General features: G+C 42.5%; 1 protein-coding gene and 1 long non-coding RNA gene across 4 annotated transcripts in view, besides 3 other annotated features; both read right to left on the minus strand.

Annotated features, from left to right (window-relative positions):
* The window catches only part of LOC124904185 (uncharacterized), a 74,169-nt gene extending 62,452 nt beyond the window's left edge, over positions 1-11,717 (minus strand). The window contains exons 1-2 of one of the 3 annotated variants that reach the window (XR_007066105.1): positions 10,645-11,717; positions 4,515-6,493 (exon numbers count right to left, since the gene is read on the minus strand). This is a non-coding gene — a long non-coding RNA (uncharacterized LOC124904185). Of the gene's footprint in view, positions 1-4,514 lie in introns of all 3 variants that reach the window. The other 2 variants (XR_007066106.1, XR_007066104.1) reach the window with 2 other exon arrangements.
* Positions 4,311-5,084: an enhancer, noted in NCBI's record as "H3K4me1 hESC enhancer chr1:56942601-56943374 (GRCh37/hg19 assembly coordinates)". NCBI's record gives its function as "activates a minimal SCP1, AML or CMV promoter by ChIP-STARR-seq in naive H9 embryonic stem cells {active_cell/tissue: H9 hESC(naive)}" and the evidence as "EXISTENCE:reporter gene assay evidence [ECO:0000049][PMID:30033119]".
* Positions 17,779-18,278: an enhancer, noted in NCBI's record as "H3K4me1 hESC enhancer chr1:56956069-56956568 (GRCh37/hg19 assembly coordinates)". NCBI's record gives its function as "activates a minimal SCP1, AML or CMV promoter by ChIP-STARR-seq in primed H9 embryonic stem cells {active_cell/tissue: H9 hESC(primed)}" and the evidence as "EXISTENCE:reporter gene assay evidence [ECO:0000049][PMID:30033119]".
* Positions 21,459-22,117: an enhancer, noted in NCBI's record as "NANOG hESC enhancer chr1:56959749-56960407 (GRCh37/hg19 assembly coordinates)". NCBI's record gives its function as "activates a minimal SCP1, AML or CMV promoter by ChIP-STARR-seq in naive H9 embryonic stem cells {active_cell/tissue: H9 hESC(naive)}" and the evidence as "EXISTENCE:reporter gene assay evidence [ECO:0000049][PMID:30033119]".
* PLPP3 (phospholipid phosphatase 3) overlaps positions 22,143-25,044 on the minus strand; it is an 84,803-nt gene continuing 81,901 nt past the window's right edge. Inside the window, exon 6 of the mRNA NM_003713.5 lies at positions 22,143-24,058. Coding sequence (NP_003704.3) covers positions 23,933-24,058 — 126 coding nt within the window. The 3' untranslated portion in view covers positions 22,143-23,932. The remainder of the gene's footprint in view (positions 24,059-25,044) is intronic.

Here is a 25,044-nt window from a genome sequence, read left to right on the forward strand (position 1 = left end):
CCGATTGTTTTATATTGAATGAGAAGAGGTTTGGATAATCATTTCAATGTAAACACAAATTTATACAAATTACCGCAGAACTTTTAAATTGCCCTCACCCCTACCCTGAGCCTGGAGGCCCAAGGAACTCAATTAGAGAGAGAAAAAAAACGATCTAATCCATTTGTTTTATAAGAAATTTCTCAGTGACTCCAGGGCAATATCTGGTGGAGACAGAAGTCCTGAGAGCAGGAGGCAGGACAAGGTGGAGGCAGAAGAAGGAGAACCTTGGGTCCCCATCCTCGCTTCAACCACAGCACCACTGCTTTAATCTAGTTTATAAACTAGGGTTTTATAGGAGAGTTCAAAAGGCTCTGTTGTTAAAGTTCAAATATGTGCAACCTCCTGGTTAACAGAGGAAGGAGCTAGAGTCCAGAAAGGGGAAGTGGTTTGCCCAAAGTTTCACAGTAAGGGGGAGGCCAAGTTCCCCATGCCTAGAAACCAGCCTTTCACCTGAATCAGACCTACCGATCAAGCCAGACCCAGTGCCTAACCTGGAAACAACCCGACAAGGCTTCTTGAAGTCCCTCAACCCACTTTTACCCCATAGAGAGAGCTTCTCTTTTGCTCATAATTTTTCAGTGACTGTCTTGTCTCCATCTGTATTTCACTCAGAAGAGAAAGAGCCTTTAACCACTACAGGTACCATACCCTGAGGATGTGCTGGTAGATTCCTAAACAGGCCAGGGAAGTCAGGGGCCAGCCAGCCATCTCAGCTGACCCAGACAGTTCCTGCAGCATCACGACCAAAAGTGTCTTCTTCCCAGAAGGAAGGGTCAGGTAGGTGCCTGGTGTCAAGAACAGGCTTCCAAATTCTTAGGCATTAGTGTTGGTCACACAGATTAAAGTTAAAAGTGATTATTCATAAGAATAATCCAGATGTTCCCAGTTCTCAGAGGGCTTTTACACGCATTATCTCATTTGGGGACTCACACAATGTTACAAGGAACACTGGGCAGAAATTAATATGCCCTTCTATAGGTGGAGGCCCATCAGGATCTCACCAGAATGTGAGACTTTCAAGGGCACAAGATTTTGTCTATTTTGTTCACTGCTATTTCCCTAGTGTTTACAACACTCAACTTGGAATGATGTTCAATATCTATTTATTTAACGAATGAGTAATAAACAGCCCTTGCCAATCTTCCTAATCTCATCTCTCTTCACTTTTCCCATATGCCACTGACTGTGATCACACTGAACCGCATCCAGGTGCCCAAGTGTGAGAAACTCCTCCCCAAGCCTGAAGTTTCTGCATGAGTTTTTTTCCTCAGCCTGAAGTGGGCTCCTCCAACTTAGCCTCTATTGGACCTTTATGTCTCAATCTTGACATTCTGGGCTACAGATGCCTCACCAGGCAAGAGCAACCAGCCTAGGGGACAACTAAGGGTGAAAAATCTCCACTTGTGCTCTGCTTGCCAAGCTGGGCATCCTGCCATGGAGCTATAGTCACCCACAAAAAGGGGTGCCTTTTTCAAATTTTCACAAAGGCTCCAACAGAGTTAACTGTGGTCCTGTTGACAAGTTCCTCTGGGGGTTTTTGTTCACAGCCCAAAATAGTTTGGAGTCCACTCACAATCTCTGGACTTGTCTGTTTCCCTCTCAAGGCGGTGAGTTCTTCCACGGCAGGGGCTGTCTGGTTAGAAGTTCTCAGGCATCAGTACCATGCCAGGCCCACAGGAGGGGTTCAAGAAATGTTTATTGAATGACAGAGTAAATGAATGAATGATGAGTGAAGCGTAGAGAGGTGAACTGACTTTTCCAGAGTCAAACGGCCAGTAAGCGGCACAGCTGGCTTGAGTCCCCTAAACCTCCTGAAATCTAGTCTAGAGCTTTCTTCCATAGTGGAAATCTTCCTTCCAAATATTCCTTCTGGAAGTCAAGTCCTCAGAGACACCTTAACTAGTGGTGAAGACAAGTCAGACGAACTTAATTAATTCTGAGCACTCTCATGCATCCTATTCGCCAGGCCAGTGAGGGCATTCAGAAATATTTAGGGAGACTCATTTTTCTACCTCAATTCTTATTTCTGTCTGCTCCTCACTCTTCACCCAGAATTAAGACATGCTGGGCCGGGAGCGGTGGCTCACACCTGTAATCCCAGCACTTTGGGAGGCCGAGGAGGGTGGATCATAAGGTCAGGAGTTCGAGACCAGCCTGGCCAACATGGTGAAACCCTGTCTCTACTAAAAATACAAAAATTAGCTGGGCATGGTAGCGGGCACCTGTAATCCCAGCTACTCGGGAGGCTGAGGCAGGAGAATTGTTTGAACCCGGAAGGCCGAGGTTGCAGTGTGCCAAGATCGGGCCATTGCACTCCAGCCTGGGTGACAATGCAAGACTACGTCTAAAAAAAAAAAAAAAAAAAAAAAACACAACCACAACAACAAAAAAGACATGCTAACTAAGTTCAAGCAGGTCCCATGCCTCCAATGCAGGCTGTCCTGACCCAGCTTTGCCCCTTCAGTTCTTATCCTGCAAACCTAAAAAGCTGCTACACCAAGTGGCTTCTCTAAAAGACCCCAAGAGCCAAAAGCGACTCACATTTTGGTCTCTGGGGGATAATGTGATCCAGATTCCCTTACGCCATGCTGAACAAGGGAAAGCAAAGAGTATAGAAAATCACTACATTGGCAGCAGGGAGACGGGGGTTCTGATCCCTGCCCAGCTATTCACACAGTGAGTCATTTACGCAGGTAATTTTTCATCCAGGAGGCGAAGGAGATTTGAACATGCACCTGGACCAGGACTAGGACTATCTGTAAAAGATCTGAAAGATACCAAGGGAAGGGGAGCTTTGATTGCTTCTCCATCCAAGGTGGGGGCTGAGCTAGACAGAGTAGAAAGAACTCAGGTATAGTCTCCAATGCTAGGCCCACCACTTTCTCACTGTGTTCTTGGGCAAGTCACTGGACATCTGAGTCTCCGTTTCCTCATCTGAATACAGGGGTCAAAATTTCTACATTGAAATGGTTTTCCTTCACTTGCCTGTTTTATGATCTTAAAATTGGTAACTGCCTTCTCTGGGCCTCCCTTCTTTCCTTACCTACTTATCAGCGCTGTGGCAGAGTAGGAAAGGGCATGGGTTCTAGGGCGTGATTTGCAGTGTGATCTTGAGTCAGTTGCTTCTCTGTGTCTCAGTTTTCTCCTTTGTAAAACAGTGGCTACCTCATGAATTTGTTACAAGGACTAAAAGAGAGGAAAGTATATCAAGTACTTGGCCCACTGTTAAGTGCTACACAAGTGTGAACTCGCTTACATTGTATGTGTGACTACTGAGTTAAGAAATACCACAGATGAAAGGGTAGAGCATCTGGGTTCCAGTTCCAGTTTTGTCACTCGCTTGCTTTGTGATCTTAAATAATTACTTACCCTCTCTGGGTCTCCTTTTACGTCTTCAGTAAAATGAAAGGGTGGGAGCTTCCTAAGGGCCTTCTAGTTCTTGCATTCTGTGTACCAGAATTGTGTACAGAGATTCTGGTACAGAATCCATCTTTGAACCTGCTGCTCCCTGGACCTGATATGTCTAGCAGTGCTTGTGGAAAACCTACTCCCTTCTCATCCTCTGGCCAGGTTAAGTTTAACCTCCTATGGGAATATTTCCCTGAGTCACTCAAAAACAAACAAACAGACCGGGCGCGGTGGCTCACGCCTGTAATCCCAGCACTTTGGGAGGCCGAGAGGGGCGGATCACCTGAGGTCAGGAGTTCAAGACCAGCTTGCCAAAATTGTGAAACCCTGTCTATACTAAAAATACAAAAATTAGCTGGCTGTGGTGGCACACGCCTGTAATCCCAGCTACTTGGGAGGCTGAGGTAGGAGAATCACTTGAACCTGGAAGGTGGAGGTTGCAGTGAGCCGAGATCTCGTCACTGCACTCCAGCCTGGAAGACAGATCAAGACTTCATCTCAAAACAAACAAACAGGCTTGGCACAAGTGGCTCACGCCTGTAATCCTAGCACTTTGGGAGGCCCGGGCAGGTGGATCGCCTGAGGTCAGGAGTTCAAGACCAGCCTGGACAACATGGTGAAACCCCATCTCTACTAAAAATATAAAAATTAGCCAGGCATCGTGGCGCATGCCTGTAATCCTAGCTACTCAGGAGGTTGAAGCAGGAGAATCATTTGAACCCGGGAGGCAAATGTTGCAGTGAGCCAAGATCGGGTCACTGCACTCCAGCCTGAGCAAGACTCCTTCTCAAAAACAAACAAACACACTCCATTGGCTTCTTCCTATGCTTCGAGCATTTACCTGGATACCACTCTTCTGAATCTGACTTATCATTCTTAGTTTCCCTCGTTCTCTCCCTGCTTACCAAGCTGGGTACCCCTCGAGGGCCTGGTGGGCCTGGAGTGACAAAGTGCCTGGGCTTTGAAGGCACATCCCAGCCTCAAGAAAGCTCTGTCCCATACTATCTGGGTGATGTTCTAACTCTCAACTGCCTCATCTATAAAATGGAGACAGTAATACCTACAACACAGGGTCGTGAGGATGAAGTGCCCGAATATCCACTTCTGGCAGAGGACACTTAGATGCAGTCACGTGAAAGGGCTGGACGTCACCTTTCTCTTTGGAAATGTCCCCAGGGTGTGGCACAAAGGAAGCACGAAATACAGTATTAGTGGACTGCATGTTCTGGGGTGAGCAGCTTGGAAACCCCCAACTCCCCATCCGCCAGGCCACAAGGAGTTAATGTTCAACAACACCCTTCTGACCCGGTTCCTTTCCAAACCAGGCCTGCAGAAGCCGACGGCTGCTCCCATTGGGCCCATGCCTGCCCCGCCTTCCCGCCCGGGAGGTCTTCTGCGCCCAGCGCTCCTCCAGCTTCTTTTGCTCTCCCCAGAAGAATTTAAAAAGCCAAACAAAACCCTTTTGCTGTGATCTCACCCCAGACAAACGCACGGCTCCCAGACAAACGCACAGCTACAAAAGCAGCCCGCATTTGCATTCTAAACCGTCCCGGCCTGGGATGAAAAGCAGAAAATGAAGTCAAAGCGGCCGGCAGAACAATGAGCCCCTCCCGGCAGCCGCCGCCCCGGCCGCCCCCACCTCACAGGCTGAATCCCAGGCCCGAGACGTGGGGCGTCCGGAGCAGCCCCCGCCGCGGAGGAACGGCCGAGGCGCGCCCACCTCCGGGGCCGTCCGAGCCTCGTCGGGCTCGGTGGACTGGCCCCGCCCGAGCGCGCAAGCTTCCCATCTCTGCTTTCTCTCCTCCAGGGTGAAAGGACGGACGGCCCCGACCCGCAGACCCGGCAGAGCCCCGCGGGGAGGGCACCAGGCCAAAACTAGGAGGAAACCGACCAAGTGGGCTGCGGCGGCCGGGAAAGAAACCACGTGCGCTGATGTCCTCAGAAACGCAGGGAGATGTTCCACCCACGGAAACCATTTGGGTTCTGCTAAAGAAGGGGGTCAGGGGTCAGAAAGGGCTCTTGGAGGGGACGGGAAATATATATGAAATTTAAAATATCTGTATATATTTTTATATATACATATGTATATATGTGTGTATACATGTCTATGTGTGTATACATACATATGTGTATATACATATTTTATATGTGTAGTATATATGAGACCAGGTTAAGTTTAACTTCCTCTGGGAATATGTGTGTGTATATATGCAGATAATATATAACATATAATAACATATATAGCATGTAATATATAATTTCAGCGTATATGTATATATGCTGAAATCTACAAAATAAAAGTCAACACTCCAGCCGCAGCATTCGACAGCCCATAGGGACACAACAATCCGTTGATCCTACCCGCCTTTTCACTGCCCCCCACCCATCCCTATGCCATCGGTTTCTCTGCTTCCTCAGCATAAAGTCCATGCTCCGTCATTTTAATTATTCGGTCTAAACTCCCTTGCCACTCGAACCCATAGGTGTACGCACCTGCCAAACCCCAAGCAGGTTAAATTCAACTCTTGTCCACCCTCACCTGCGTCTGCCGGGCAAGGCACACCACCTTGCTGACTATTCCCAATAAATTCTTGACACTAACCCCAAATGGGTGGTTAATGCTGACTTACATCCCTACTACATTTTCCCAGTGGATTCTCTTCCACTCTTCTAAACAAATACTTTACATTTTCTCTTTTCTCAGCTCCCCCCTCTGCTCCCCCATCCTTCCTCACTGCTGCTAACTTTGTTGCTGTTTTATTGAGGAAATAGACGCAATCAGGCCAGAACTTCTGCAAGCTTTCCCCAGGCACCCACCTGATTTGTAGCGTGGCTTGCCTGGTGGCCATCCTGTTCTGCCCTCCGACCTGTGATTTCGCATGAAAGCTGTCTTGCCCTGCCATAGGCCGAACCTCCACCTGCATTCGACGCCCAAGCCCTTCACAGCTCTGAAAACCCTCCCAGAGCTCTTCTCTTCTGCACCATCACTTTTCCTCTGTCTGGATCATTGGCCTCAGCTCACAGACACTACCATTTCCACCATCTTAAAAACAAAAGCAAACCAAAAACAAGAGTCTCTTTTGGCTCCCTATCTTCCTCCAGCTACTTAACCCATTTCTCAGCTTCCATTTACAGGCCAGCTCTTCAAGAATTGTCTGTGTTAAGGGGCTTCAAACTTGTATGGTTCACCTGCCTGCAGAAGAGAATTTTGAAAAATTGTGTACTCTGGCCGGGCGCGGTGACTCACACCTGTAATCCCAGCACTGTGGGAGGCCAAGAAGGGCGGATCATGAGGTCAGGAGTTCGAGGCTAGCCTGGCCAACATGGTGAAACCCCATCTCTACTAAAAATACAAAAATCATCTGGGCGTGGTGGCAGGCACCTGTAATCCCAGCTACTCGGGAGGCTGAGGCAGGAGAATAGCTTGAACCCGGGAGGCGAAGGTTGCAGTGAGCCGAGATTGCGCCACTGCATTCCTTCCTGGGTGACAGAGCAAGACTCTGCTCTGCAGGGGAAAAAGAAAATAAAAAAGAAATATTGTGTACTCTAACACACATTTGTAAGTTGTATCTAAAACTGCTCAATATAAATTTACATATAAGATCCAGGTGCAGCTAAATAATCAGCCACACACTCTGAATTTTATTATTATTATTATTATTATTATTATTATTATTATTAAGCTTAGTAAAATACCCACAACGTAAAAATTTACCGTCTTAACCATTTTTAAGTGTACAGTTGGGTAGTGTTAAGCTAAGTAATAGTCACACTGTTGTGCAACCAATCTCTGGGATTTTTTATCTTGCAAAATTCAAACCCTAATCCCATTAAATGACAACTTTCCATTCCCTCTTTTCCCCAGCCCTTGGCAGCAACCATTCTACTTTCTGTTTATACGAGTTTGACTGTTCTGGATATCTCATATAAGGAAAATCATATAGTATTTGTCTTTTTGGTGACTGGCTTACTTTACTAAACATAATGTCGTCAAAGTTCATCCATGGAGTGACATGTGTCAAAATGTATATCCTTTTTGTGGCTGAATGATACTCCATTACATGTATACACCAAGTCTGAATTTTATTTCACTCTGAAATGAGGTTTTTGTTTATTCAACAAATATTTACTGAGTACCTACTATGTTTGTGTATATACAGCTCTGGATGGACAATGTGAACCAGAAAGATAAAAAGCTCAAAATCTAGCAAAGATTTAAAAGGAGACTCACTCTCCTGTCCCATCTTTTGATTCATCACTCGAGCCTGTGGGTCAGAATATCAAGTTTGCACCTGAATCCCAAATCCCAGTGTTCCAATTTAGAACCTGAGACTATCTAGTTCCAGACTCCATGAATACAAACACATCTTGAGATCCTTCCCTGTACCAACTCACTCCCTCATAAGGGCTCCCTTATAAGGGCTGCATACGTGTCTGTATCTCTCATGAGATGTAAAGCTCTTTGCAAATAAGAAACAACTGTGACTTTGTTCTATATCATCAGTCTTTAACAAGGTGCTTGGCACCTAGAAATGCTCAATAATTGTTTTTTAATGTTTACTCCTAAAGCTGGTCTTATTTGTTTAAAATTCTTCAAATAATTCAAAATTCAAATTTAAAATAATCCCAAAACTATTTCTTGCTACTATGTGTCAGGCCCTGTTCCAGGAGTCAGAACTAAAACAAAGAACAAAACAAGCTTGATCCATACTCTTATCACACATTCTAGTTGGGGGTTAGAAGAACCAATAATAAGTAAAAATAATAAGAGAAATATCAGAAAGAGAAATGATTAGAATAGGGTGCTAGAGTCATAGGGGCTTGGGTTCATCCTGCTTTATACAGGGAAGATCAGGAAAGTCTTCTCCGCAGAAGTGTTCATTGAGCAGAGATATGAATGACAAGAAGGAATGAAGGAGGGGAAGGTCACAGGGAAGAGCATGCTAGGCAGAAGACACAGAGTGTGCAGAGGCCCTGTGGCAGGAAGATCATATTGAAGCAGGTAAAATTTATCGTTTTCTTAGTTTAGAGGTGTGGCAACCAAGTCTAGGAGACAGATAGTGATTTGTTCACCTCTCACAGAAGGGAATTGAGTATAATCAGAAAGTAGTTATCATAGTTAAGGGGTTAGCAGATATTTAACAAAGCAGTTCAATCCTCTGAGCTATAGAAAAGAAATAGCCTGTCTGAACTTGATCCAAACTAAAGCCACTCTTCTCATTTTACAGCCCCCCACACTGGGCCATCTGTTTCATCCACCTCTCAAGGCTTATCTCCCCCTACCATCTCTGAGTTTTTGACTCCTAAAAGCCTATCTCCAATCCCAGATGTCTATTGTGAGCTGGAAGTTCCAGCTCCAAACTGGAATGCAAGCATTATTCTCTTTTGTACATTGCTCTGTGTCCAAACACAACTCTGAATTTGTATTTGTCTGGCACATAGTAGTTGCTCAGTAAATATATTTGAATGAATACATGAATAATGAACTTCAGACCTATTTATCCAACTCTTTACCAGATTTGTCCACCTTAAGATCCCACAAACACCTCAAGTTCAACATATCCAAAACAGTAATGATCTCTACCACTTTCTCCTCCAAATTACCCTTTCCCTGTTTTCCCTCTGTCTCTGAGATCAGTACAAACTCCACCAAGTCTAGGAGAGAAACAAGACAGAAACATGAGCAATATGTTTGATTTGTTCTTTTTCCACCTGTATCCAATAGTCTTCTCAGTTCTAACTCTTCATATTTCTAGAATCCATATCTGGTTCTCCCTACCTTCTGGGTATGCCTTGGCTAAAAATCTCATCACTTCTCCCCTGAATTATTATGATAGTCATCTAATTGTTCATTTCTTTCTGTCTCTCCTATGTAAACCATTTTTCAACTATTCCGTATAATACCTACCAGGGTGATCACTTTAAAAAATATTTTATTAATTTGTAAAAGCTACACATTAATTCTTATATGGAAAATGCAGAAAATTTTGAAAAAAAAATAGAAATCACCAATAATCTCACTATACAGAAGTAACTACAGGTTTAAAATATTTTTTATACTGCTACTGCTAATAGTTTGGCTGTACATATAGATATTTCTTTTTCTTTCTTTCTCTCTTTTAAACTCAAACTGGGTCATTGTATTGAGCTTTGAAATTTTTGTTGACATTTTATTATGCATGCTTTTCTATACCCTTAAATGTTGTTGAATACATTTGAAATCTTTAAAATATTACATCAATTGACTATGTCATAATTCATTTGATCATTTCCCAATTATTTAACATTTAGATTGTTTACAATTTCATTATTATAAAATGTTTCAATTCTTGTACATAATTTTTTTCTTAATCTCTGATTATTTCCTTATAAATTCCTAGACGTAAAATTATTAGATCAAAGGTTCTTGGTAAGTTTGCCAAGTTGCTTCAAAGTAACTTTTAAAAAATGCAAATCTAAACATGTTATTCTCTTTTTAAAATATCTAAATATAGATTTCAGAAAATAATTCAGACTTCTTAGGTAGATATCCTGCATGATTTGTCCTCTATTTACTCTGACTTCAGCTTCTACCACTTGTGCACATGAGCCCTTTACCTCAACCACATCAAACTGCATAACATGACCTTTGGACGATGTTGTGTTCTTTGTCTAGAACACCATGCTTCATTTCCTTCATCTAGTCAATTTCTACTTGTTGCTTCAAAATTTAACATTAAGCACCATCTATATAAAATATATAATAAAATATCTTCCATTTTAATACTTGCAGTGAGTTAATTTCTATGCTAGAAAGTTCACTTTATTTAATCATCACCACCATTCTGCATAGGTATTATGTCCAATGTCCAACTGAAGAAATGGATGCTCGATTAGTAAGTGGCTTATGTAGTTAAGTGGTAGAGAGGAGATTTAAAATCAAGTTTATCTCACTGTAAGCCCATGCACTTTATCAGTGCAATTTGCTTCCTCTCTGATCTTCCTGTATTTTAGATTCATCTTATCTGGGTTTTTCATAGCATCCTAGGCTTACTTTTGTCTTTCTTTTTGTCCATAGGTCAATCTTGATGGTTAGACTGCAAATTTCTTAAGGGAAGGAACTATGGCTAATTCTCAGTGTAGGACCCAGTGAACATTTATTGAATGAATGATGAATGAATAAACAAACACTGATTGTACTCTTAGAACTCTGACCTTGGTTTTCCTTAATTTCCTTTGCCGTCACTGATGATGACTTCATGAGCTTGTCTTCTTGGAGGATCAGCACTCATTTCCTCTGATGTCTTGATTCATGTTGGGGTCTTCCAACTGAGCAGACATAACATCATGGTCATGAAACTCCTTTGCCAATAAAGGTGGACCCCAGACAGCATCCCATGAATCAAGCTGAAAGAGAGAGTGCCAGCAGTTAAGTTTCTGTTTGCCCACACATGCCAGAGAATGAGAGGAAAAACCCCACAGAAATAGAAGGCAGAGACTTAACGGGTTAGAAAGAGACCCCTGTGTGCAGCAGGAACTGGCCTCAAAGGATTAAAGAGAAAATGAAAAGTGAAAACTGGGCACACAAATTTTAATTGGATTTGAAGAGATCAGGTCTATGGGAACCATTGTCCACCAAGGCTGTCCATTTGTGTCAAAACTCATTCCACCCTGTCCTCCCAACACCCTGAACCCAAGAGCAGTGTGGTGTTCACATAGATACAAATAATTCTGGACCCCCCACCTCCATAGCAGTCACCTTCCATAGCAAGAGTTTCTGAATGAAAGCTGCTTGGACCACATATTCCATGGTTTGGCCACTAAAGTGGCAATTATCCTTTATTTCCCTTCTCCACTTTCACCACAAACATTGCATGCAGCATCTCCACAAATGCCACCTAATAGTTTGTGTCACCCACTCAGGAGAAGGAGAGTGAACATATGCATACACATGTATACTTAGACACACACACACAGACACACAAAGTTGTGTGGATATCCAATCATAATATATTTACAAGTACGTATACATATTTGCACATATAATAACATAACACACACATACACTTCTGCATATAAACGAAAGGGGAGACTCTTTAGTCATCTATTCAATCAAAAAGTATTTAACAAGAACCTACTCTGTGCCAGCTACTATGTTCTAGCCTAAGGAAAAAATGAAGGATAAGACACTGTCATTGACCAGAGATAAAGCCTCACACTTACAGCCATCTGATCAACAAAGTTGACAAAAATAAACAATGGAGAAAGGACTCCTTATTCAATAAATGGTGCTGGGATAGCTGGTTAGCCATATCTAGAAGATTGAAACTGGACCCCTACCTTTCACCATACTCAAGATGCATTAAAGATTTAAATGTAAGAACCCAAACTATAAGAATTGTGGAAGAAAATCTAGGAAGCACCTTCTGGACACTGGCCTTGGGAAAGAATTGATGACTAAGTCTTCAAAAGCAATTGTAACAAAAACAAAAATTGACAAGTGGTACCTAATTAAACTATAGAATTGCTGCACAACAAAAAGAAATGATCAACATAGTAAACAGACAATCCACAGAACAGGAGAAAATATTCACCAATTATGCATCTGAGAAAGGCCTAATATCCAGAATCTATAAGGAACTTAAACAACTCAACAAACAAACAAACAAACAAAAACCCCATTAAAAAATGGACAAAAGACATAAACAGACACTTCTCAAAAGAAGACACACAAGTGACCAACAAACATATGAGAAAATGTTCAACATCACTAATCATCAGAGAAATGTAAGTCAAAACCACAGTGAGATAACCATCTCATACCAGTCAGAATGGCTATTATTAAAAAGTAAAAAAAAAAAAAAAAACAGATGTTGGCAATGCTGTGGAGAAAAGGGAGCACTTTTATACACTGTGGGTAGGAATGTAAATTAGTTCAGCCACTGTGGAAAGCAGTCTGGAGGTTTTTCAAAGAACTTAAAACAGAACTACTATTCAACCCAGCAATCCCAATACTGAGTATATATCCAAAAGAAAACAAATCTTTCTACCAAAAAGACACATGTGTTCACATGTTCATTGCAGCACTATTCACAATAGCAAAGACATGGAATGAACCCAGGTGCCCATCAATGGTGAACTGGATAAAGAAAATGTGATACATATACACCATGGAATAGTATGCAGCCATTAAAAAAATGGAATCATGTTCTTTGCAGCAACGTGTCTGCAGCTGGAGGTCATTACCCTAAGTTACTAATGCAGGAACAGAAAACTAAATACCAGATCTTCTCACTTAAATGTGGGAGCTAAACATTGAGTACTCATGAGCATAAGGATGGCAACAATAGACATTGAGGACAACCAGAGCAGGCAGGGACAGAAGAGGGCAAGATTTGAAAAACAAACTATTGGGTACTCTGCTCATACCTGAGCAATGGGATAATTTGTACCCCAAACCTTAGCATCATGCAATATACCCAGGTAGCAAACCTTCACAGGTACCCCCTGAATTTAAAATAAAAGTTAGGAGGGCAGGCATGATGGCTCATTCCTGTAATCACAGAACTTTGGGAGGCTGAGGTGGGCGGATCACGAGGTCAGGAGTTCAAGACCAGCCTGGCCAACATGGTGAAACCCCCGTCTCTACTAAAAATACAAAAATTAGCTGGGCAAGGTGGCACGTGCCTGTAATCCCAGCTACTCAGGAGGCTGAGGCAGGAGAATTGCTTAAACCCGGGAGGCAGAGGTTGCAGTGAGCCGAGATCGCGCCGCTGCACTCCAACCTGGGCAACGGAGCAAGACTCCAAAACTCCGTCTCAAAATAAATAAATAAGTAAAAGTCGGGGGAAAAAAAAGACTTCGTCATTGCCCTCAAAGAGTTCACAGTCAATAGATGAGATAGATAGATAGATAGATAGATAGATAGATAGATAGATAGTCAATTACAGAGCAAGAAAGAAGTAGAAGGCCGGCAAAGCCATTCAATCTAACCTCAGGGCTCAGTTTTCCTGGTGAAGGTGGAGGTGGATCTGATCCTTGAAGAGGACTAGGAAGAAGTAAATACATATGCCAAAGCAAAGTGGTATGAGTTTGGGAAAACTGCAAGTAGTTCAGAATGGCTGGATTTTAGGGGACAAAAGGAAAGGAGGATGTGTTGAAAGAAATAGTGGTAGAGAGATAGGCAAGTTCTAAATCATGAAGGGAATCTCATGCTGAAATTCCAAATCTTTTTTTTTTGAGACAGTCTTGCCATGTTGTCCAGGATGGAGTACCATGGCACAATCTCCACTCACTGCAACCACCACCTCCGGGGTTCAAGCGATTCTCCTGCCTCAGCCTCCTGAGTAGCTGGGATTACAGGCATGTGCCACATATGGCTAATTTTTGTACTTTTAGTACAAACGGGGTTTCTCCATGTTGGCCAGGCTGGTCTTGAACTCCTAACCTCAGGTGATCCTTCCGCCTCTGCCTCCCAAAGCGTTGGGATCATAGGCATGAGCCACAGCGCCTGGCCTGAAATTCCAAACCTAATAACATGGCAGACTTAGCTAATCCAGAACTACCTTCTCCAGAAAGAAAAAAAAATACATAAAAAAAACAACTTTCTCTTCCCATTAATATATGACCAGATCCAAAGAAGCTTCATAAATCAGAAAGAAAAGAGGAGTATAAAACCAAAGTAAGGCCGAGTGCAGTGATTCATGCCTTGGGGGCTGATCACTTGAGGCTAAGAGTTCCAGACCAGCCTGGCCAACATGGTAAAACCCCCTCTCTGCTAAAAATACAAAAATTAGCCAGGCATGGTGGAACGTGCCTGTAATCCCAGCTACTCAGGAGGCTGAGGCATGAGAATCCATGAACCTGGTAGGTGGAGGTTGCAATGAGCCCAGGTCACACCACTGCACTCCAGCCTGGGCTACAGAGCAAGACTCTTTCTCAAAACAAAAACAGCAACAAAAACCTAAGTAATACCTTCAGGCTGAAGTTGAAGTTAGAGAAGTAGAGGCCAAATCATTCAGTGTTATGTATCTATCTAAGCAGTATGAACTATTTTTTGTAAGTTTTCTGTAAAGAGTTTTGAAAGAGAATGGCGTGATTAGATTTGCCTAGCCCAGGGCCAAAGAAACCCCTGTGTCTCCTTCCTGACAGAAGCAAACACAAAACTGCTTTCTAGAGATCAGGCCATATGAGACTCGCAGAGAAAACACAAGCCCTGCTATAGATAAGCTCACAATAAAAAATTATAAACCATACAAGTGCATCCTATTTAGTGTCGAAAATGAAAATTAAAACCCAAAAAGATTTTTCTTATTCATCCTTATCAGACTGGTAATATTTAAAAGTATAACAATAACTGTGTCATACTTTCAAACAGTTGAGAATGGAAGTCCATTGTCAATCTCAGATGCTGCTGCTAAAAGTATAAATTTGATATAACTGTTTTGAAGAGCACTTTGGCAATATTTATTAAAGTCGAGATGTATATACTTTACCATGCAGTGATTTCATTGCTAAATCCATTGAGACTAAAACTCTCCCTTACTTGGATAAGGAGAAAACTTAAGGTTTCTGTTACTTCATTGTTTGTAACAGTGAAAAACTGGAAACAACCTAAATGTCCATCAATATTATAATGAACAAGTTATGGTTTATTCATATATAATGACACCACAGAGTGGCTAAAATGAACCACACCAGGTCTGTGTGCCATCACATATACAGTGCAAAATACAACATGGAATGATCAGAATATATAGTCAAAATACATACTACTTTAATAATATTTACATGTATATGCATTTAAAACTCACAACTGGTTCTTTATATGGCACGTGGATGCATACATATTTTGGATCAAGTAAGAAAACCTAAATTTAAAAGACACATACCAAAATTCAGGATAATGGTTACCTTGGGGAGGGACTGTGTGGAATGGAGTAAATGGGCTTAAATGTTATCTCCATGTTTTATTTCCTAACAACAACATTTGATCCAGAAAAATAGGGCCCAATGCTAATTTGTTATAGCTGAGTGCTAGGCACAGGGGTCTCATGTTATTCTCTGTATTATAGTATATTTTCAAAATAAAACAAAATTTAAGAATAAGAATAAATTCCATGCTAAGCATTTTATTCCCTAAGCAAGTGAGTGACATAGTTTAGATTTGTGCTTTGGAAAGCTCCCCCAACCTCTGAGTGGAAGAGGTCTTAGCAGACGATAAATGGAGGCAGGAAGACCCCGTAAGAAGGCTGTTTGCAATAGGCTAAGAAAGAGTTAATGAGGTCTGGCACAGGTTAGTGGTCAGGGATGGATTTGAAAGCTATTTAAGCGGTAATATTGCCAATATACTACCAGTCTCCTTTTTCTTTTGGTGTTTAAAAATTTTGTTTGTACAAGTTTCCCTCATTTCTCCTTTTCAATGAACTATGACCTACAAATAGACAAGTGCATAAATCATAAGTATGCAGCTTAACACATTTTCACACAGTGACCACCACCCAGATCAAGTCTTCTCCCAGTCAATGTATAGCCCCAAAGGTAACCACAAATCAGAGTTCTATCACCATAGATTAGTTTTGCCTGTTTTAAACTTTATAAAAATGAGCCCATATAGTATGTATTGTTTTGTGCCTGGTTTCATTCATTCAATATTCTTTTTGTGCAATTCACTCATATTGTTGTATGTCTAAGAGTTTGTTGGTTTTTATTGCTAAATAGTATTTCTTCAAGTGAATATTTAATTCCATTATTTAATTGGTGCTCAGTTGTGAATGGGGACTTGGGTTTCTTCCAGTTTGGGACAGTATTGTCATGAGCACTCATGTACATGTCTTGTTGTGCACACATATTTCCTTCTGTTGGATATGTATTTTAGGAGTGAAATTTCTGGAGAATAGCGTATGTGTATTATTGGCTTTAGTAAATACTGGAAAGGTTTTCCGAAGTGATAGTACAAGTGTACATGCCCAGCAGCAGTGAATGAGAGTTCCAGTTGTTTCACATCCACACCAACACTTGGTACCACTCGCTGTTTTTTGTTTTCTGTTTTTTGACTTTAGACAAGAATATCATAGATATGCAATGATATTTCATTGTAATTTTAATTTGCATTTTCCCATGACTAAAAAGTTGAGCATGCTTTTATATGTTTATCTCCCACTTGTATATCCTGTTATGAAGTTTTAAAAATAGGTTGTCTCTCTTGTTCTTATTATTTACACAGTTTGAGAATCAAAAGAATACCACCAAAGCCTCCCTGATACTAATATTTATCTCTGATAATTCACTCATTTGTTGTTTTCTTTTAGAAGACTTAGAGAGGCTGAGGTGGGTGGATCACCTGAGGTCACGAGTTCGAGACCAGCCTGGCCAACATGGTGAAATCCTGTCTCTATTAAAATACAAAAAATTAGCTGGGCGTGGTGGCACGTGCCTGTAATCTCAGCTACTAGGGAGGCTGAGGCAGGAGAATTGCTTGAACCTGGGAGGTGGAAGTGGCAGTGAGATGAGATTGCACCACTGTACTCCAGCCTGGGTGACAGAGCAAGAATCTGTCTCAAAAAAATAAAAAAGCAGGAGGCCTGGATCAGCAGCACCCCACTCTACTGGTGCCAATTTACTGTATTAGCCCATTTTCATGCTGCTGATAAAGACCTATCTGAGACGGGACAATTTATAAAAGAAAGAGGTTTATGGGACTTACAGTTCCACATGTCTGGGGAGGCCTCACAATCATGGCGAAAGGTGAAAGGAACATCTCACATGGCAGCAGACAAGAGAACAGGGCTTGTACAGGGAAACTCCCCTTTTTAAAACCATCTGATCTCGTGAGACGTATTCACTACCACGAGAACAGTGCAGGAAAGACCCGCCCCTATAATTCAATCACTTCCCACCGGCTTCCTCCCACAACACGTGGGAATTCAAGATGAGATTTGGGTGGGGACACAGCCAAACCATATCAGAGGGGTTTATGCAAAAACAAACAAACAAACTTGACATTTCTTGTCAGAGTCAGATGTTCTAGAAGGGATGCTTACACAGGGTCACAGGGTAGGGAGCAGATCCAGGTCTTTCTTTTCTTTTCTTTTTTTTTTATTTTGAGACAGTATCTTGTTCTGTTGTCCAGGCTGGAGTGCAGTGGTGCGATTTCGGCTCACTGCAAGCTCCGCCTCCTAGGTTCACGCCATTCTCCTACCTCAGCCTCCCCAGTAGCTGGGACTACAGGCGCCCGCCATCATGCCTGGCTAATTTTTTGTATTTTTAGTAGAGACGAGGTTTCACCGTGTTAGCCAGGATGGTCTCGATCTCCTGACCTCGTGATCCGCCCGCCTGGGCCTCCCAAAGTGCTGGGATTACAGGCATGAGCCATTGTGCCCGGCCAGGTCCAGGTCTTTCTGATTCCTTCCATGTCACAGCACTTCATAAAGGCCCCTCCTCCCCATCACACTACTGGGATTATTTACTCATTATTTACTAGACCTACATTCTAGGCTCTCGGCTCCTGAAAGGCCGGGCTCTTTTCATTCATTTTGTTGGGTCAGTGCCCTAACCAGACTTTAGCTCTAGGTGGGTCTCAGGGAAGCCCTCCTCAATAGCAGGTCCTCCTGCTGAGAGCTCTCATAGCTCCTCCTGCATTCTTTCTTCAGAACACTCATCCCATTTCTTAGTTACATATTTGTAATTTGACTGTTTGTATTCGTCTTTAGACTATAAGCTCCTCGAAGCTGGCATCCCATTTTATCTACTGTTTTACTTCTGGTGTTTACCAGTGCCTGGTACACAGGAAGTGATTAATAAATATTAGTCAATGGATAATTGAAGTCATTTAGATCAGAATCCCAGATCTATCCCATATTAGATGTGTGAACTGAAACAAGATTCTTAACAGCTTCAGTTTCTCACTCAGTAAAATGAGACTATTCATAGCTACATTTTTTATTCTGTATTTTTTTATTGATATATCATAGTTGTACAAACATTTGGAGTACATGTGATACTTTGATACATGTGTGTGATATACAATGATCAAATCAGGGTAATGGGGATATCCATCATCTAAAACATTTATCTTTTCTTTATGTTGGGAACATTGCAATTCTTCTCTTCTAGTTATTTTGAAATACACAATAAATTATTGTTAACTACAATTTCTCTAATATACTATCCAATATTAGAACTTACTCCTTCTATCAATTGTATTTTTTTACCTATCAACCAACTTCTCTTCATTTCCCCCCAATCCTATCTACTTTAACAGTGGTTTTTGAAGATTTAAATGAAGCAGACTGCATGAAAGTACCTGCGTCAGGATTTTGCACATAAACAGTTCTTTGGAAATACTTTGGAATCAACGAATGAATGTACGAATTTATTCTAACTGGCAGGAATCTTATGCAGATTTCTAGCTGTTAAAGTTTTTGTTTTTTTCCATCTCTACCTCAGAGGAAATTTAAGTCCTCATTAATTCCTAAGGACAGGGTCAATGTTTTGCAATTCTCTATGTCCCTGCAGCCTGTTTAATTGGATGGTTACCAAGAATCATGTGACTTTTTGACCCGGGTGATGATTAATTGGTTCAAAATTGCCGGGAACTATTCAGTGCCAGGCAGACATGCAGGATTTGCAGAGGATAAGACTTGCTTCTGCCCCTGAGAATCTGACAGTCTTGATACAGATCTTTATGCATGCAATTTTGGTACATTAAGCTAAGAGGTTACCGATGTCTGCACCCAGCATGCTCCGAGCCAAGCCCCGGAGGAGTGTGGCTTGGGGGAAGCACACCTGAACAGAGTCTGCAGGTTTAATGAGCAAAGAGTGGGGGTATTTCTCAAACCTTATTGTGCATGTAGATCACCTGGGGATCCTACCCAAAGGAAGATTCTGATTCTGTAGGTTGGGGTGGGGCAGGGGTTCTCCTAGGTCTATATTTCTACCAAGCTCCCCAGGGATACAAATGTTGTTAGTCCGTGAACCCCATTTAAAGAAGCAAGTCAAGGCTCACAGACTGCCATGAGCAAAGAGGTATAAAAACAGATCTTGTAAATCTCATCTTTAACGAGCAATAACCCAAGGCTCAGAGAGGTTAAGAAACGTGTCCAAAGTCACATCACATAGCCAGGAAGTGTCAGAGCCAAGACTGCAACCTGGGTCTGAGTCCCCAGGTCCTTGTTTCCTTCTCCACATCATGCTGCTCCTCACAATACCACGCAGCTCCATTGTTTCCTTAAGTCCGCATGAAACGGGGCTACTTCTCAAGTTTGGTTTGTCAAGTACTGTTGGAAGATAAAATGGAAAGACTGGGGTACTCGGATCAGGAGGCTTGGGCTCTGGTCTCACCAGTCCCTCCACTCCCTGGGTGCCTTCCCTCTCCTACCCCCACCAACAAGAGTTGTTCTGCCCCTCTGGACACTGGTTCTTCAGATTTGAAGTGAAAATTTGGCCTCTGGCCTTAAGGATCTTACTAGCTACATTTTGGGGCTCAAACGGACATCACCACTTATATAAAAATGCTGTGAAATTGCTGAGCTATTCCAGGGGCTGGAGGGGACTGCATTGTCCAGCAGCAAAGAGCAGGCTGACCTTGGTGGCAAGAAACCAGACATGAGCCACTTGGGTCTATTTCCAGGCCTTGAAGCCAAATGGAGCATCCCTGGCTGGATTTTTCTTTCCTTTTTTTTTTTTAGACAGAGTCTCACTCCACTGCCCAGGCTGGAGTGCAGTGGTGCAATCTCGGCTCAGTGCAACCTCTGCCTCCTGGGTTCAAGTGATTCTCCTGCCTCAGCCTCCAGAGTAGCTGGGATTACAGGAGTGTGCCACCACACCCAGCTAATCTTTTGTATTTTTAGTAGATGAGATTTCACCACGTTGGCCAGGCTGGTCTTGAACTCCTGACCTCAAGTGATCTGCCTGCCTCGGCCTCCCAAAGTGCTGGGATTACAGGCATGAGTGAGCCATCATGCCTGGTCCCTGCTGGATTTTGAAGTTGCTGGGGACTGATGACTTCTTTTTTCCGTCTATTTCTCTCTCTCTCTCCTTTTTTTTTTTTTTTTGAGACAGTGTCACTCTGTCGCCCAGGCTGGAGTGCAGTGGCGGGATCTCGGCTAACTGCAAGCTCCCCCTCCCGGGTTCACGCCATTCTCCTGCCTCAGCCTCCCAAGTAGCTGGGACTATAGGCGCCCACCACCACGCCCGGCTAATTTTTTTGTATTTTTAGTAGAGATGGGGTTTCACCATGTTAGCCAGGATGATCTCAATCTCCTGAACTCGTGGTCCGCCTGCCTCGGCCTCCCAAAGTGCTGGGATTACAGGAGTGAAACATCACGCCTGGCTTCTCTCCCTTTTTAAATAGGAATGTCTATAACTGTTATTCTATGCCTGTTTCACCAGTGAATTTAGGGAGCAGATAACTTGTTTCTTAATTTTCACAGGTTCATAGAGAGCAATGTATTCCAGGGTGGATTAAACATGGAGCCTCCTTTTTACCTAATTTGAATGGGTTAGTTTAGATGATGAGATTTGGGGTGTTTAAGTTGTTAAGATTTAGGATTTTGACTTGATACTGCCATATCCTAGGTCTTTAGGGGATGTGGGGATAGGGTGATCTGTTTTGCATTTGGGATGGATGTGAATCTTTTGAGGGCCAGAGGGTGAACTCTGGTACTCTGAATAATGGTTCCCGAAATATGGCCATGTCTTAGATCCCTGGCATCTGTGAATATATGTTCCATGGCAAAGAGGAATTAAGGCAGCAGATTGAATTAAGTTTGCCAGTGAACTGACTTTAATATAGGTGATTATCCTAGATTATGAGCAGGTCTGTGTAATCAGCAAGGAGGGCCTTTACATGTGAAAGGGGTGGCAGAAGAGGAGAACCAAAGAGATGGCAGGGTGAGGACTCTACCCAATGTTGCTTCCTCCATGTGAACATGAAGAGGGCCACAAGCCAGGGAAAGTGGGTGGCCTCTAAAAACAGAAAAGGCAAGGAAACAGCTTCTTGCCTAGAGCCTCCAAGATTGTAAGACAATACATCTATGCTGTTTTACGTTTGTGGTAATTTGTTATAGCCGCTATAGCAAATTAATATAAGACCTATCCTACAATTTAATGCTCTAGGATCTTAGACTAATCATTTCATCTTTGCATTCTTTAGTATTCTTTCTTTCTCAAAATAACTGCTGTGAAGATCAGACAGAACAAATAGGCAGAAATCCCTGGCACACAGGTGCTCAATAAATGTGAATTTCTAGCTTCCCCTTTTCTTCCAGGTTGGAGAAACACAAGGAAGGGAAGCAGGAGCCACAGGCCATTCTCAGCCTTCCTTTGATGTGGGCTGTGTACAGGATTCCCTCAGTAAGCTCCCCCAGCATACCTTATCTAGAGTGAGGGCTGCTTATCTGCCCTCGGGGTTCCTACAGCTCCTACCTCTCTGATGGAAAAATCCTCTTTAGAATACAAAAGCTCTTTAGAAGAGCCTGAGATGAGGGTAGAGCCAGGGCCTCATTCTGCAAACAGGCTTTCAGAGATGAAAGAGCAGGGCAGACATCGGTATCTACCCTATGACCACCACATTTCCCACTGAAAAAAATCAGGAGTTGGTGCGCTGAGATGAGGCAAGCCCACTCAAAGAGGCCAGCCCGCGATGCTTCCTTCTCCTACCCACACACCTGAGACAAACATCTCTCAAACACTCCAGGCTTGCAAGTCCTTAATTAGTTGTGTTACGAGCTTTTATTTAAAAAGCACATTTAATACAAGTATAGTTTCGCAGATACAAGTTTTCACTTTGTATGCTACAAAAGTCTTTGAATATTATTCTCTTTACAAAATGGAACCTTACAAAAATACTGACAATTTAATGTTTTTATACAGTTTTCTCTAGTTGCAGTTATTTCATTATAAAACAATGTCTACCACAGAACTATGATATTTTAGTTGATATTTAAAAAAATTAACTCAATGCTTTTTTAAGCAGCTAATGTAAATAACACAGGTCGAGACACAGTTTATAATCATAGTGGATATAGCTAAATTGTTTCAGAAATAATATCTTACATAGTTAACTTTTAATGTTTTATACATTATTTATATAATATTTATATATAAAAATCATAGCTTGCTATAAGTTGAAATGAAAGGACGGATTCTGTAGTAAGGATGTGCATGTGGTTGATCCATATGGTTACATTTAACCCTTTGAAAGGTCTGCATCCAAGATCTAAACGCATTTCTTCCTTCCTCCTTTCCTCAAAGGTTCAGTAGAAGGGGTCCCTGTCTATCACCTAGAGTGGGACCTTGCATGGAAGGACACTTACGGATAGAGGATGAGGGAAACTCTCTACCGAGATTTAACCCATATGTTCTGCCCAGCAGAACCTACCAAGAACTGCCCTAGGGCTCAACCCCAAGACAATAGTGCTTTACACAGCAAGAGCAACTCCTACAAAGACCCTCAGCTCTGTCATCCTGAAGGGTAACCTCTCATGCATGAGACTGCCTGCTTCTCTGGCTCCTTCTGATTTGCAACAGCTAAAAGGTTGGTTCGATTTTCATTCTGCCCCCTTCACCCTCCCATCTGTTGTACAGAAGGCTGCTTTCCGTCAGCTGGTGGCAGACCATGCCTTGCTCATTCCTGGGCCCTCACAGGAAATCCTGGTGGGCACGCAGCAAGGATTTCAAGGGAGAAGGCAGTAACCGAAGTCGAACTGTTTCTAAGAGTATGCAAGTGCCCGGTGATTGACGTGCACAACATCAGCATCCTGCAATTGACATTTCAACATCACAGGATGATGCGTCAAAAGAAGAAAAGTGAGGGCCTGTGCCCTCGATTTCTTCTGAAATTGTGCTGTTTGTGAAATTCACTCGTCCACAAAGAGTCTGCTAATCACTAATGTGAGGAACTATGGTTGTTGGCCTATGGGCAGGGGAGGTGATAAGGCCTTAGAACTGGGAATCTAGATTCGGGATCTGATCACTTGACTGAGCAAACTTGCTCTTTCCTTTTATTTAAAACACAAAACAAAACTTCCTGAACTAAAGTCACAGTACAGAATAGAATGGGATGGACAGAAAGACTCAAGAGGGCAGCTCCGCAATGGCTATTTTCTTGATTCAGTGCTATTTCTGGCATCATGTGCTGCAATGTGAATTTTTGCTTTTCTCACAGGCCTGGGATTCCTCAGGTCACAAAAGGTGACCAGCAGCCTCTACTCAAATCGTTTTAGTGTTTGTTCCTGAACAAGCTGTGTTCACTAGAACATGAACACTTAAACCAATTGCACATCCAGGACTCTGGCACTTGGTGTTAGTTTGCTGTTGTTTCCACATAGGCAAACACTACCTATTTTGGAAGGCCACATAGTAAAACATTTTTTTTTTCCTTTTTAAAAATCAGTCGGGCAAAAGTTTTTCCCTACATTCTACTGTCTGATGAGATTGGAGAGCAGCAAGAACTTGCTGTCAGCAGTCATTTTACAAAAACAGCTCAGGAGGTGGGTGGCACCTACATCATGTTGTGGTGATTGTTCCTGTCAATAATGTCCACAGGTGAAAGGATTTCCTTCCGGATAGCAGGGGCAGGCAGGGAGAGCGTCGTCTTAGTCTTGAAGAGGTCAGACACGAAGAAAACCTAGAAGCACAAATCAGAGATCGAAGTCAGTAACTGACATCGGGGGTCTGGGTACAGAGGGAAAAGGAAGGTCAGAGGAGCGCAGACTTCAGGAAAAGGGGCCCCAAATCATAACTCTTTGAATAGGGAAGGACAACAGAGATCATATCATCAAGGTTTATTGTACAGATAGGGAAACTGAGACCCGGGAAAAGGCAGTGACATGTCCCAGGTTGCACAACACTGGTTCAGTAGAATCCACTTCTAAGGACTCTCAGTCCATTGCCCATATCTGCAACCCATACTTCCTTATTTCTCAAGGCAAACGAATAGCAATGAAAGATAAGTTCCTCAACAAAGGAAGCAGGTCATAATTAGTGATAGTCATTAATTCACACTACTTTCCCTTTCCTCACAAAGGAATCCAGGGTGTAACCGAAAAAGATCAGCCAACATGAACTCCTATCAGCAAGAGCTGAAGTCAGGCAGTGGTAACTACTTTTTCCTGAAAACTTAGTGATATCAACCATTTGACGGGGGTCAAGAAACCAGGTTCTCGTTGCTGAGAAAGTTGGCAACTAAACGTGGAGGAACGGTTAATGACAAATCTCGTATCACTCATTCCCAGCGTCCTTTTTCCTCCTGGGGATGTGACCTCACTGAGTCTGAACAATACTTGAGAAACATTTATTGAGTGCCACTTGCAAAGGTGTGAGGATGGCACAGGCATAGTTCCTGCCTCAATGTGCTTATGATGAAAGATTCAAGGGTTTGATGAGCTACTGGAGTAAGAAAAATTTATGCTTTGTATTAGATGGCAAAATAAACACACAGACATCCATTTGAGCCATTTAGCAACAGGAGTTTTTACTAAGTAACCATAAGCGGCAGCTATCAGTCATGTAATTTAATAGGAAACACTTGGCTGGATTTCAAAATAGCGACTAAAACACTATCAAAGTTTCTACACCCAACAGCCTTCTGAATTGATGAGTCTTTGTCCTGCA

The sequence above is a fragment of the Homo sapiens genome, chromosome 1 (assembly GCF_000001405.40).
Source record: "Homo sapiens chromosome 1, GRCh38.p14 Primary Assembly".
Classification (NCBI taxonomy): Eukaryota; Metazoa; Chordata; class Mammalia; order Primates; family Hominidae; genus Homo; species Homo sapiens.